Raw genomic sequence first — 14,054 nt, forward strand, 5'->3', positions numbered from 1 at the left:
AAACAAAAATATATAAATGATACTTCATTAAACTAAAAAGCTTCTGCACAGTAAAAGAATCAACATAATAAATAAACACTTTACACAATGGGAGAAAATTTTGTAAACAATGCGTTGGACAAAGGGCTAATGTCCAGAATTTACAAGGAATTAACTAGAAAAAAACAAATAATTCCATTTAAAAAATGGGCAAAGGACATGAACAGACATGTCTCAAAGGAAGGCATACAAGTAGCCAACATATATATGTACGAAAAAATGCTCAACATCACTTGTCTTCAGATAAATGCAAATTAAAACCACAATGAGATACTATATTACACCAATCAGAAAGGCTATTATTAAAAGGACTAAAAATTAATAGAGATTTGCAGATAAAATGGAATGCTTATACACCATTGGTGGGAATGTGAATTACTACAACCTCTTTGGAAAATAGTATGGCGATTTCTTAAAGAACTAGAAACAGAACTACCATTTGACCCAGCAATACCAGTACTATCTACCAAGGGAAAGGACATCATTATGTCAAAAGGATACCTGCACTCATAATTCTCACAACACTATTCACAATAGCAAAGACATTAAATCAAAGTGTCCATCGATGGAAGATTGAATAAAGAAAATGTTTTGTATATACACCATGGAATACTATGCAGGCATAAAAAGAATGAAAATAATGTCTTTAGTATCACAGCATCAAGGAAGAAGTGAGCCTTTCCCTGAACTGCTGTAATGTATGAGCCTTGTCAGCTCTCAGGGCATCATGAGCTCCTTTCTAGCTCTTGCTAGTGCCATGTTTCATGTAGTGGGTCTTGGCCCAGTTCCAGCTCACTGGCAAATACAATATCACCTGTGATACAGGGTACTTGATAATCACAGCTGAGCAAGTTAAAATAGCATGTCCTCTAAAAATACATGGCTTCCATATTCTTTATGTAGGGGTGGGTTGCCCCTACACACCTGTGGGTGTTTCTCGTAAGGTGGGACGAGAGATTTGGAAAAGAAAAAGACACAGAGACAAAGTATAGAGAAAGAAATAAGGGGAACCGGGGAACCAGCGTTCAGCATATGGAGGATCCCGCCAGCCTCTGAGTTCCCTTAGTATTTATTGATCATCTGTGGGTGTTTCTCAAAGAGGGGGATGTGTCAGGGTCACAAGACAATTGTGGGGAGAGGGTCAGCAGACAAACACGTGAACAAACGTCTTTGCATCATAGACAATGTAAAGGATTAAGTGCTGTGCTTTTAGATATGCATACACATAAACATCTCAATGCTTTACAAAGCAGTATTGCTGCCCGCAGGTCCCACCTCCAGCCCTAAGGCGGTTTTTCCCTATCTCAGTAGATGGAGCATACAATCGGGTTTTATACCGAGACATTCCATTGCCCAGGGACGGGCAGGAGACAGATGCCTTCCTCTTGTCTCAACTGCAAGAGGCATTCCTTCCTCTTTTACTAATCCTCCTCAGCACAGACCCTTTACGGGTGTCGGGCTGGGGGACGGTCAGGTCTTTCCCTTCCCACGAGGCCATATTTCAGACTATCACATGGGGAGAAACCTTGGACAATACCTGGCTTTCCTAGGCAGAGGTCCCTGCGGCCTTCCGCAGTTTTTGTGTCCCTGGGTACTTGAGATTAGGGAGTGGTGATGACTCTTAAGGAGCATGCTGCCTTCAAGCATCTGTTTAACAAAGCACATCTTGCACCGCCCTTAATCCATTTAACTCTGAGTTGACACAGCACACGTTTCAGAGAGCACGGGGTTGGGGGTAAGGTTATAGATTAACAGAATCTCAAGGCAGAAGAATTTTTCTTAGTACATAACAAAATGGAGTCTCCTATGTCTACTTCTTTCTACACAGACACAGTAACAATCTGATCTCTCTTGCTTTTCCCCACACTTTAGACTAATCTTGTACAACAATCTCTGAAAGAATAGTTGCCAAATGAATTCCTTTCCTCTAAGTTCTTATAAAGGGTCCCATTTTGATATCCAAATACAATGAAATCTTGTTTTAAAACTCATCCTAGAATGGAATTCAGAATAAGTCAGATCCATCTAAAGCTTCACAGAAATAATTTTAAATATAAAAATATTAAAATAATCTCATTGTGTTTCTTCTATATCGATGTAATTCAGAACAGATTACTCAGGGCATTACATTATAGAAGGTCCATTATTTTGTTGTGGCACAAGTTTGCTGATAGTCTTGACTATGCTTGCTGAGAGAGCCCCAAATTATCTGAATCTGTGATTTATGTGAATTTATTTGAATCCAGAATACAAGCAAAGTGAAACTCAAAGCTGTAATGAGGTTGACGAAAAATAATAATAAAAGCAATTGTTCTCAGTTTGAATTGTACTTGATTAGTTTGTTAACTTAAAAGAATACTTGGGTCACATTTTGAAGCATTAGCAGTGAAAATCCATAACTGAACTACATAAATTACAAATTGATTTAGATGAACCAGGTCTGGCTCTAATGTCTAGCATACATGATGTGCTAAAGGTGTTTAATGATCCATGCACAGATGCAGCAGTGAGAGAATTTAACAAAATTGGCATTGGCTTTTATTAGATCTCACATGGTCAAATAGCATTTATCTGATGTGAAGAATGGAGTCAGTGAATTATCAAGTCAACGGATGCTTTTTTTTTTTGATGTGGTAAACCTCTTTGAATTTATAATAGAATAGCTCATTGGAGAACATTGCAACCTCTAAAATTTTGCTGCAAGGTGAGAAAATACCAGGCAGAGACAAGTTATTAAAAAGAGAAAATACATCACTTTAAACTCTAAACACTTGTTCTTAACACATGATGCCTCTTACAGATGACAGATGTGCATGATTTATAAAACATTTTCTTGTTTAGGAAAACAAAGTGATAAAATTGAGTTGATGGATGTGGTAGCTGGGAGACAAAATCATTCTGTGTCTATGTTAGCCATATGCAATAAAAACTCTAAAATAATGTCCTCTATTTTTTAAACTCAGTAGCAGGTGCTATTTATATTATTCAGTCATTTGGCAAGTAAATCTTCTGTCAATACTCAAAATCTAAATCATCACTGTTGATATTCAGGAAATTGAGAATTATGATTGCTAACTCATAGAAAGGTTTGAATTGTGTTTTTTTTAAATGTAAACAAAAGTATTGTCATGGTAGGTAGAAAAATGGCCTTCCCAAGATGTCCATGTCCTAATCCCTAAAAACCATTAATATGTTACCTTACATTGCTGAAAGCATTTAGCAGATGTGATTAAATTAAGGGTCTTGAAATGGGGAGATTATCTCGGATTATCTGGGTGAACCTAATGTAATCATAAAGGTTCTGATGAGTGAAAAAGAGATCCAGGAGAGGCAGAGTCAAAGAAAAGATATACGACAACAGAAGCAGAGGTTTGAGTGATTTAATTGCTGCCTTTTATTGAAGATGGAAGGGGCCCATGAGTCCAGGAATAAAGGTAGCCTCTAGAAACTGGAAAAGGCAGAGAAGCTATTTCTCCCCTAGAGCTTCCAGCATGAATGCAACCCTGCTGACACCTTGATTTTGGCCTCATAAGACCCATTTTGAACTTCCAAACTGCAAAATATTTTTTTGCATTGCTTTAAGCCATTATACCACTAGATTTGTGGTAATTTGTTACAATAGAAAAGGGAAACAAATGTAGTCATTTGCCTTATGGCTATTGTGGATTTTGCATAAAGAAGGACAATATTTGTCATCATTGTCCTGCAGTACACTGGAATATGTGGGGAATCACACATATGTACACTTACATGTTTGGAATATCAAGTTTCACATATTAAGTCTAAGGTTAGGCAATGCTTGTATGTGCCATAATATTCTGCTCAGAAAATGCTCAACACTTTGTCTGAACATGCTGTGCAATGCTACCAGGAGGTTCCCTTGTTCTTGCTTCTTGTTTATTTTTTTACATCAATAAATGAAAGACATTCTTTGTGGTCAACAACTGAACTTAAGTTATATACCAACAACATTCTCCAAATTGGCACTACAACAACAAATAACACCTCTTTCCAATGGATTCATGTTCTTTGAAAAACAAACAAGTATTCTTTCTGCCCTTTAAAAAAATCAATTCAAAAGTAACTTTAAAACCACCAAAGGTGTAAGTGTAAATAAATACTTTCTGCGGTTTAAAGATTAGATTGTAATTAATGAGTGAAAATAAAATGTTCTTTTTAAAAATGATTGTATAAGTTTCAAACCACTTGGCAATAAAGATGAAATTCTTTAAAAAAAAATAAGATGAGTGCTCCCCAAAGTTTGCTAAGAGAAATTAGCCCCAGGAAATTCACAAAAAAAAATAAAATGGACTTTATGTATTTGGCAATCAATGCATGCTGGCTTTTCTGTCTTCAACTTTCACAATGGCATAAGAATTCCCTGAAAAGGCCAGAAGTAAAGAATCTTGTTCAAATGTAACTAAGCTTTTCTTTAAGATATTTAAATATGAGACACTTTTATTATTATTATTAACTCTAAAAAAGTATTGAGGTAAATGATCATCAAACTATTCTCTGAAACTCATGGTAAATAATATAATGTAGTCATCAACTTGGAATTCAGGCAGACATCCTTAAAATTATTGTGATAGGCATAATAATTTATATCAGTTCTACCTTGAGATTGTCTTCTTATTTCCATTTTAGAATTGTAAAAACTGAAACACAGGTAGGTTACATACCTCTTCATGATTATCTTATATTTGAATGGTGAAGATGGAATCAATGGGAATAAAACCAGTCTATGCCCTTGTGTGCTCTGATACCTTGTTTTTTTGTCATTTCTAAGTCTCTACTGTCTGTCATCCAATTTTTTTTTTACTTACATGAATGAAAGGCTTTAATTTTATTTTAAAGCAAACAAAATTCCAGGGAAAAGTGAAAAGAAGCGTATTGTGTTTCAAGTGGTTTATGTGTCCCCTGCAATTGTCGAAATTCGTCCTTTTCATACCATAAATTAGGGAATGTGATTAATCTGTGGTGGTTTTGCATAGAAAATTTACATAAAAGCAGGCGTTATAATTCATACACTCTAACATAATCGACAATCTGATGGTAAAATTTTCTCTATGTGTATTGCAGAGCTGAATTTTCAGTCATACAATTTCAGTGATTTCTAATTCAGCTTTTTGGAATCCTAATCAGTTATTTAGTTAGCATTTTTGACTTCATTCAATTTAATACTTAATTGGTCGATATATATATATATATATAACTTAATAGCTAGTTAGACTCCAAACACTATATGTTCCTGATGTAAAAACCAGCAACTTTTTATATAATTACTTTGCAGATTTTCTGTGGTTCAAGGCAGTGACAGCCATATCCTGCTTGCATGAGGCAAGTATAGACTGCAGCCTTGAATCCGTTTTCATTCAGGTCCATCATCTTGAAGTACCAAAGTATAGTAATGGTTATGACAGTTAAGATTGTTTGGCACCAGGTGACCTTATTATTCTTGCAAATATGAAGCTTAAAATTGTACCATATATAGAAAGTTCAGGTAAATTTGCAATGGTATGATGTAGTACTTGTTAGTCTTAAATTACCATTGGTGTAAGATAATATTATGGTAATGGTTATAACTAAATAATAAAGATACTTTTCATATGAGTTTTTATAAGACTTGTGCTGCCACAAGAATTGCTGAAAGTGACCTCACATGCTCACCTTGTGTTGCCTGTATATTAGCAAATTGAAGGTAGGGATTCCCTTACCAAATCATCTTCCCATAGGCCTGAGGCTTCCTCCCCCAACAGAAGGATTTCTTGAGATCCAAGATCTCTAGGTTTTGAAATGCTAGTATTTCCAGAACACCTTTGGAAATAGATGGACCCTAAATCCATCCATTCGTTTATTCCTTCAGTGATGATACTGTTTCCCTATACTTGTTATATGAAAAAGGAAACTCATATTAGAGGGGACTCAATGATTTAACAGGCTCAGAGATTGAGCACATTTCTCTGTGGAATGAATGATAAGAGGATAAGGGGTTCCTAAAACTTTGCTTGCTGACCTTGGGCATACACAGATTTTCTCAATAAAGTGTATTCCTTAACTCATGTTATACATTCTGAAATTTATCCAGACTTCTGCTGCACTACAGGTAAAGACGAAGAAACGATATAATTTGTATGGCAATACTCTTTGTGATTGTTCAAACTTAAATTATAGTTTCTGTGTTGAAAAATGGCTATACATTGACTTTTAAAAATAAATTTTATTGTGCATATTTAAGGTATAAACACGTTGTGGTATAAATAAAGATAGTAAAGAAATTACTATAATGAAGCAAATTAGCACATCTATCATCTCAAATATTTACCCACAGTTTTGCTTTTGTGGCAAGAACCACTTAAATCTACTCATTTAACATCAATCTCTTACATGGTACAATTTTATTACCTATGGCCCTCATGCTATACATTAGCTCTCTAGACTTATTTTGTTTTCCTTGTATATTTAATTTTTTTTGGATTCTACATCTAAGTGAGACCATGCACCATTTTTCTTACTGCATCTTGCTTATTTCACTTAGCATAATATTCTCCAGACTTATCCAGTTGTGGCAAATGGCAAGATCTCATTCTTTATTAGGTGTGAATAATATTACATTGCATATATGTACCATGGTTTCTTTATCCATTCATCCACTGATGAAAACTTAGGTTGTTTACATATCTTCACTACTGCAAATAATGTTGCAATGAACATGGAAGTGAAGGTATATTTATGAGGTAGTTATTTCATTTCTTTTGGGCATATGCCCAAAGGGAGATTGCTGGGGCATATGGTAGTTCTCTTTTTAATTCCTTTAGAAATCTCCATACTGTTTTCCATAATGGCTATGCCAATCTATATTCCTACCAATAGTGTGTAAGAGTTCCCTTTTCTTTACACTCTTGCCAACATTTGTTGTCTTTAGGATTTTTCTAATGGGTGTGAGATAGTATCTGACAGTGGTTTTGACTTGCATATTCTTGATGGTTAATAATGATGAGTACCTTTTCGTATAATGGTTGGCTATTTTATGTCTTCCTTAGAGAAATGTCTATTCATGTCTTTTGCCCATTTTTAATCAGGCTATTTGTTTCTTCACTATTTAGTTATATAAATTTTTATAAATTTTGAATATGAACCACATATGAGATATATGGTTTGCAAATATTTTTCCCAATCTGTAGGTAATTCATTCATCTTGTTGATTGTTTCCTTTGCCATACAGAAGTGTTTGGTTTGATGTAGTCTCCTATGTTTATTTTTGCTTTTGTGGTCTGAGTTTTTGGTGTAATAGCCAAAAAACTGTTGCCAAAGCCAATACCCAGGAGCTTTTCCCCTATGCTATTTTCCAGGAGTTTCATAGTTTCTTATCTTAAATATTTGGGTCTTTCATCCATTTTGAGTTGATATTTGTTTATGATTTAAGATAAAGATTTAATTTCATTCTTTTGCATGTGGACCTCCAGTTTTCCCAGCACCTTTGTTTGAAGAACTCTCCTCTCCCCGTTGTGTCCTCTTGGTGTCCCTGTCAAAAATGAGTTGACCTTATATGTTTCTATTTCTGGAGTTTGAATCTGTTTCTGGAGTTTGAATCTATTCTGTTCCACTTGTCTATGTGTCTGTTTTTATGCCAGTACAATACTCTTTTGATTCCTTTAGCTTTGGAATACACAGTAATTTTAAACCAGGGAGTCTGATGCCTCCAATTGTGTTTTTCTTTCTCAAAATTGTTTTGGCTATTCAGGCCTTTCATGGTTCCACACAAATATTAAGTGTTAAGTGTTTTTTTTTTTTTTTTTGGAAAGCCTTTTGTTCTGTCCTCCAGGTTGGAGCACAGTGGCACGATCTCAGCAGCTCACTGCAAGCTCCGCCTCCTGGGTTCACGCCATTCTCCTGCCTCAGCCTCCCGAGTAGCTGGGACTACAGGCGCCCACCACCACACCTGGCTAATTTTTAGTATTTTTAGTAGAGACAGGTTTCACCGTGTTAACCAGGATGGTCTCGATCTCCTGACCTCGTGATCTGCCTGCCTCGGCCTCCCAAAATGCTGGGATTACAGGTGTGAGCCAGTGTGCCTGGCCAAATTTTAAGGTTTTTGAAACTTTCTGTGAAGAATACCATTTGATGGGAATTACACTGAATCTGTATATGGCAATATACATGCCTTTGGTAGCATGAATACATGAAGAAAATCAACTCCTCTGATCCACGATCATGGGATAGCTTTCTATTTATTTGTGTCTTCTTCAATTTCTTTAATCAATATTATATGGTTTTCAGTGTACAGATCTTTAATCTCCTTAGTTAAATATATTCCTTCATATCTTATTTTTTGACACTATCATAAATGGGATAATTGTCTTGAATTCTTTTTCAGTTAGGTCATTATTTGTGTATAAAAATGCTACTGATTTGGTATGTTGATTTCATACCCTACAACTTTATTGGATTCACCTACCAGTTCTAACAGTTTTTTATATAAAAATAAATCAATAAAAAAGATAGTTCCTCATTTTTTAGCAGTGGGGAAAATGAAGCAGTTGGCCTTAAGTGAAGACCAACATTTAACAATAGCACTTTGTCATATTATTCATGAAAAAAAATAAAATGTCATGACAACCGTAGATTCAAACAATTTTATAACATGCTTCCTTTTATTGAATAAAAGCATTCAATATTTTTAAGTAAGTTTTTAAGCCTTGTAAAATCCTCTTCAATGCCTTATATACATTACTCTAAACCTTATAGATTAAGTCCATAATGCTGGCTATACAAAATTGAAGTCAGATTTTTAAAGCACATTATCCAAAATGCCACTATACTATATGTAAATGACCAAGTGTAATGTGCTGTTTGTTACGGGCAACTGCACATTTTGGTTTGCTTGGGACAGGTCTGGTTTCTGTCTATTGTCCTGGCATCCATCTAGTTTAGCATTTGTCCCAGATTTTCATTTATTAATCAAGATTTTTTTAAAGTAAATAGTTGCTTTAGAATAAATCAGGATAGGTGTGGGAAAACTCAAAGCATCTTATTTCTAGCTTTTGTCATGGTCTCATTGTCTACTTCTAAATTTTGGTTATTTAAGAAGATTGGACACAAAGCTGCAAGGGCTCCATTTATGCATTTATGTATTGTATTATTCCATTTTCACATGCTATAAAGATACTACCTGAGACTGGGTAATTTATAAACAAAACAGGTTTAATTGACTCATAGTTCAGCATAGCTGGAAAGACCTTAGGAAACTTACAATTATGGCAGAATGCGAAAGGGAAGCAAGCACCTTCTTCACAAGGTGGTAGGAAAGAGAGAGAGCACAGGGGAAACTTTCACTTTTAAACCATCGGATCGCATGAGAACTCCCCACTGTCATGAGAACAGCATGGGGAAAACCACCCCCATGATCCAATCACCTCTCACCTGGTCCCTCCCACATCACATGGGGATTACAATTTGAAGTGAGATTTGGGTGGGGGCACAGAGCCAAATCATATCATTCCACCCCTGGCACATCCCAAATCTCATGTCTTGACATTTCAAAACCAGTCATTGCCTTCCCAAAAGCCCCCAAAGTTTTATCTCATCCAGCATTAACTCAAAAGTCCAAGTCCAAAGTTTCACCTGAGAAAAGACAAGTCCCTTCCACCTATGAGCCTGTAAAATCAATAAGCAGGTGTTAGTTACTTCCAAGACACAGTGAGGGTAGAATCATTGGGTAAATGTTCCGATTCAAAATGGAAGAAACTGGCCAAAACAAAGGGGCCACAGGCCCCATGCAAGTCTGAAACCCTGCTGGGCAGTCATTAAATTTTAAAGGTCCAAAATCTCCTTTGACTCCATGTCTCACATCCAGGGCATGCCGATGCAAGGAGTGGGCTCCCACAGTTGTGGAAAGCTCCATCCTGTGGCTCTGCCGCGTACAGTCCCCCTCCTGGCTGCTTTTATGGGCTGGTGTTGAGTGTCTGTGGCTTTTCCAGGTGCATGGGGCAAGCTGTAGGTGGATCTACCATTCTGGGGTCTGGAGGATATCGGATCTCTTCTCACAGCTCCATTAGGCAGTGCCCCAGTGGGGACTCTCTGTGGGGTATCCAACCCACACATTTCCCTTCCACACTGCCTTAGCAAAGGTTCTCCATGAGGGCTCTGCCCCTGCAGCACACTTCTGCCTAGACATCCAGGTATTTCCATATATCCTCTGAAATCTAGGTGGAGGTACTCAAACCTCAACTCTTGTCTTCTGTGCATTCGCAGGCTCAACACCACATGGAAGCTGTCAACGTTTAGGGCTTCCACCCTTTGAAGCAATGGGCTGAGCTGTACCTTGGCCCTTGTATCCGTGGCTGGAGCTGGAGTGACTGGGATGCAGGATGCCACATCCCAAGGTTAACCCAAGAAACCACTTTTTCCCTCTTAGGCCTCCAGGCCTGTGATGGGAAAAGCTGCCTCTAGGATCTCTGAAATGCCCTGGAGACATTTTCCCCATTGTCTTGGTGATTAACATTTGGTTCCCCATTACTTATGCAAATTTCTTCAGCTAGCTTGAATTTCTCCCCAGGATTTTTTTTCCCTATTAAATATAATGGCAAAAACCACAATTACTTTTGCATCAACCTAAACCAAATGGTCAGACTGCAAAGTTTCCAAACTTTTATGCTCTGCTTTACTTTAAAACATAATTTCTAATTCCAAACCATCTCCTTGTGAACACATATGACTATGCTTTCAGGAAAAGCCAGATCACCTCTTGAATGCTTTGCTCCTTGGATATTTCTTCTTCCACATACCCTAAATCATCTCTCTCAAGTTGAAAGTTCCACAGATCTCTAGGGCAGGGGCAAAATACCTCCAGCTAAAGCATAGCAAGAGTGACCTTTGCTTTAGTTCTCAATAAGTTTCTCATCTCCATCTGAGACCACCTCAGCCTTGTCTATATCATCATCAGCATTTTGGTCAAAACCACTCAACAAGCCTCCAGGAAGTTCCAAACTTTCCCACATATTGCTGTCTTCTGAGCCTTCCAAACTGTTCCAACCTCTGCCTGTTACCCATTTCCAAAGTTGCTTATACATTTTCAGGCTATCTTTATAGCAGTGCCCCTCTCCTTGTACCAATTTCTTATATTAGTCCATTTTCATGAAGAATGATGTGATAGATGTGAAATGTCTTGGCTCCATTGGTGCAAGAGAAACTTCAAAAATAAATTATTCTAGTTTTTTTTTAATAGTGTTTTCAAATGCTTCTTTTTCCTATATATTCATTGACTGAAAATATGGATGTAGAAGTTCAATTTGTTAAAAGTGAAACAGTTACCATGCTATTGGAATATCAGTAAAAACTGACTGGGAATGATACAAATATTTTAGCCAATTGGCAAGGCAAAGCTTTGTAGTAAAAGGAATATTTTAAATTCCTTTGTAGTAAAAGGAATAAATAAATTAAACCTATGGAGCAGAAGTGTAGCTGGAATTGGTTTTTGGACACACATAAGTTATAATTATACTCAAATAAGATGAATGTTCTACTAATGGACATAGAAGCATGAAGTTGTAAACATTTACAATTTTTCTAGTGGTATATAGATACCACTAGAGTAAATAAACTAAAAAACTTATAGCAAAACTGATGTTGAATGAACCCATATACGAAAGCTCAGTATGGTGATACGTGCAGCCTTTCTTTTTACTTTCTATAATACTTCACGTTTCAGAAGTAGTTACAACTTGTTTTATGAGTTTTATTTTGTGAAAATATTTATTGAAGGAATATACTCTGATTGGAGATGAAAAGACAATAACTGAAATGTCTTATGCTTAGTAGAAATTTTTTTTTTCTCAGCTCCCAGGGACTTCAGCATGTAGAGAGATTTTCATAATTTAAAAATATGTGAAGACTCTTCAATATAATTTGTTAGCATTTTCCTATTTGTTAACTATAAAATACTATTTTCAGAACAAATATAGGCAGTTTTATAAAAAATATTAAAAATATTAAGAACATATTTAAAATGTATTTATATTAGCATCATTGGCATTGTACTAGAAACAGATACGACTAAGAAACTGAATAAAGTATGTAAATTTATGCCCAGGTGAATTTGTAGTATTTTTAAAGGCTTAGAAAATTAAACACTTTCAAAAATTTTCTTTAATGTAAATAAATATGTGGATATATTTAAACATTTTTAAGAAATATATTAATTTCAAAAATATTTTAAAACATAATTCTGTTAAGGTCTACCAATATAATGAAACCAATGGCTAGTCAATAAAATTTTTTATAAAATTATATTTTATAATTATTTTAGTAACCCCATTCACTGCAAAACTTTCCCAATTTGGATCAGTAAGCTATCTGGTCAACTAATATTGAATTGAATATTCTTTCTTTTCTTTGCAATTGTTCTCAACCAGGATCTGGTAACTTGGTTACAGATTATATTACTGCTTCTTGCATTTTACTTCTCTCCTCTAATTCAATTTCTTTCTTATCCAGGTATGTTATTTGTAATTCTTTTAGCAAGTATGTGTTAGGGCTAAACTGTTCCAGTATTTGAAAGAAAATGTGTTTATATCATCTATGCTCCTGAATGATAATTGAACTGAGTATAGAATTCTTAGGTGATATTCATTTTCTCTTAGCACTTTTAAGATACCGTTCTGCTGTCTTTGAGCCTCTTGTTGCTGTCAACAACTGTCAGTCTAATTGTTATTCTTTATAAGTAATTCATCTTTATGGTTATTTTCAACATCTTTTCTTTCTTTCCTTTTTTTTTTTTTTTTGAGACAGGTCTTACTTTGTCACCCACCATGGAGTGTGGTGGTGCAAATGCGGCTCACTGCAGCCTCACCCTCCCAGGCTCAAGCAGCCTCAACCCTTCAAGTAGCTGGGACTACAGGCACATATCATCACGCCTGGCTCATTTTTGTATCATCATGTTGCCCAGGCTGGTCTTGAACTTCTGGACTAAAGTGACCTGCTTGCCTCAGCCTCCAAAAGTGTTGGGATTACAGGTGTGAGCCACTGTGACCGGCTTCAATACTTTTTATTTGCTTTTGTGAGGGTTATTTTAACTATTAATTATATATGGACTCTTTTTATTCGTTTTGCTTGGGAATAAATGGCATATTTTAATGTGATAATTCATATCTTTACTAAGTGCTGAATGATTTCAGTCATTATTTTTACAAGAATCGGTTCTGTGACATTCCTTCTATACTATGCTGTTGGAGCTCCTACTAATGAATGTGGTGGATTCTACCACTGGCCAGTATACTCCCAGACCTCTTCTTCCTTACACCCTTTCATTAAAAAGACCAGCGCTGCTAAATATTTACTTTTCTAGCCTCTTTTAAAGGCAAGACTTGCCAAGTACAGTTTTAAAGATGAAATGTTAACTGGAATTGTGTTGTTGGAACTTGTGGGAAGTTCTTTCTTTCATGATGAAAAGAGAAACCCAATTGGTGGTGTTTCCATTCCTCTTCTTCCTGCTACAAACTTAAATACAATGAGAAGAGCTTTAGCCTTCATTTGGATTTTAGTAAAAGGTCAAGATAACATCAGGGATGCATCTGTGACATCTCCGAGACAGAGATCTGGTGATTGTTAGCTGCCTCCCTCCAAATTTTTAATTATGTGATAGTGTAACCTCGGTTTCTTTCAACTGAGTCCATGGAAACACCTAAGCGCTAATACTTTACTTAAGAGAAACACACATAGAGTATGTGGGTGATGAAAACACGGCAGCAAAGGAAAGGAAGATGCCAAGTAAAATAATGCAATGTATCTCTCTCTGCGTATCTGCTCACCAGGAGGCATAGTAACACAAGAGACAGTACAGTTTTTCACTTGCCACGTAACAATTTTTGAAAACATGGAATGGAGAAATTTTACATCAGAGTAGTTCACTAGAGAGGAAACGGAGGGAGGCTATTTGCCTAGTGCTTTCCTGCCTCCTGCTTCCCATGAGATCACATGATGCAGAACATTTGGAAATAATCACCTCTTTCACTTCT

The 14,054-nt window shown here is 36.1% G+C and overlaps 2 long non-coding RNA genes across 3 annotated transcripts in view; one reads left to right on the top strand and one right to left on the bottom strand.

Annotated features, from left to right (window-relative positions):
- Positions 1-14,054, top strand: part of LOC101928283 (uncharacterized) — a 194,753-nt gene that overhangs the window by 35,664 nt on the left and 145,035 nt on the right. The window lies entirely within an intron of this gene.
- Positions 9,347-14,054, bottom strand: part of LOC101928254 (uncharacterized) — a 34,713-nt gene continuing 30,005 nt past the window's right edge. For both annotated transcript variants that reach the window (NR_110183.1, NR_110182.1), the window contains one exon: positions 9,347-10,609. This is a non-coding gene — a long non-coding RNA (uncharacterized LOC101928254). The remainder of the gene's footprint in view (positions 10,610-14,054) is intronic.

Source organism: Homo sapiens, chromosome 7 (assembly GCF_000001405.40).
Source record: "Homo sapiens chromosome 7, GRCh38.p14 Primary Assembly".
Lineage (NCBI taxonomy): Eukaryota > Metazoa > Chordata > Mammalia > Primates > Hominidae > Homo > Homo sapiens.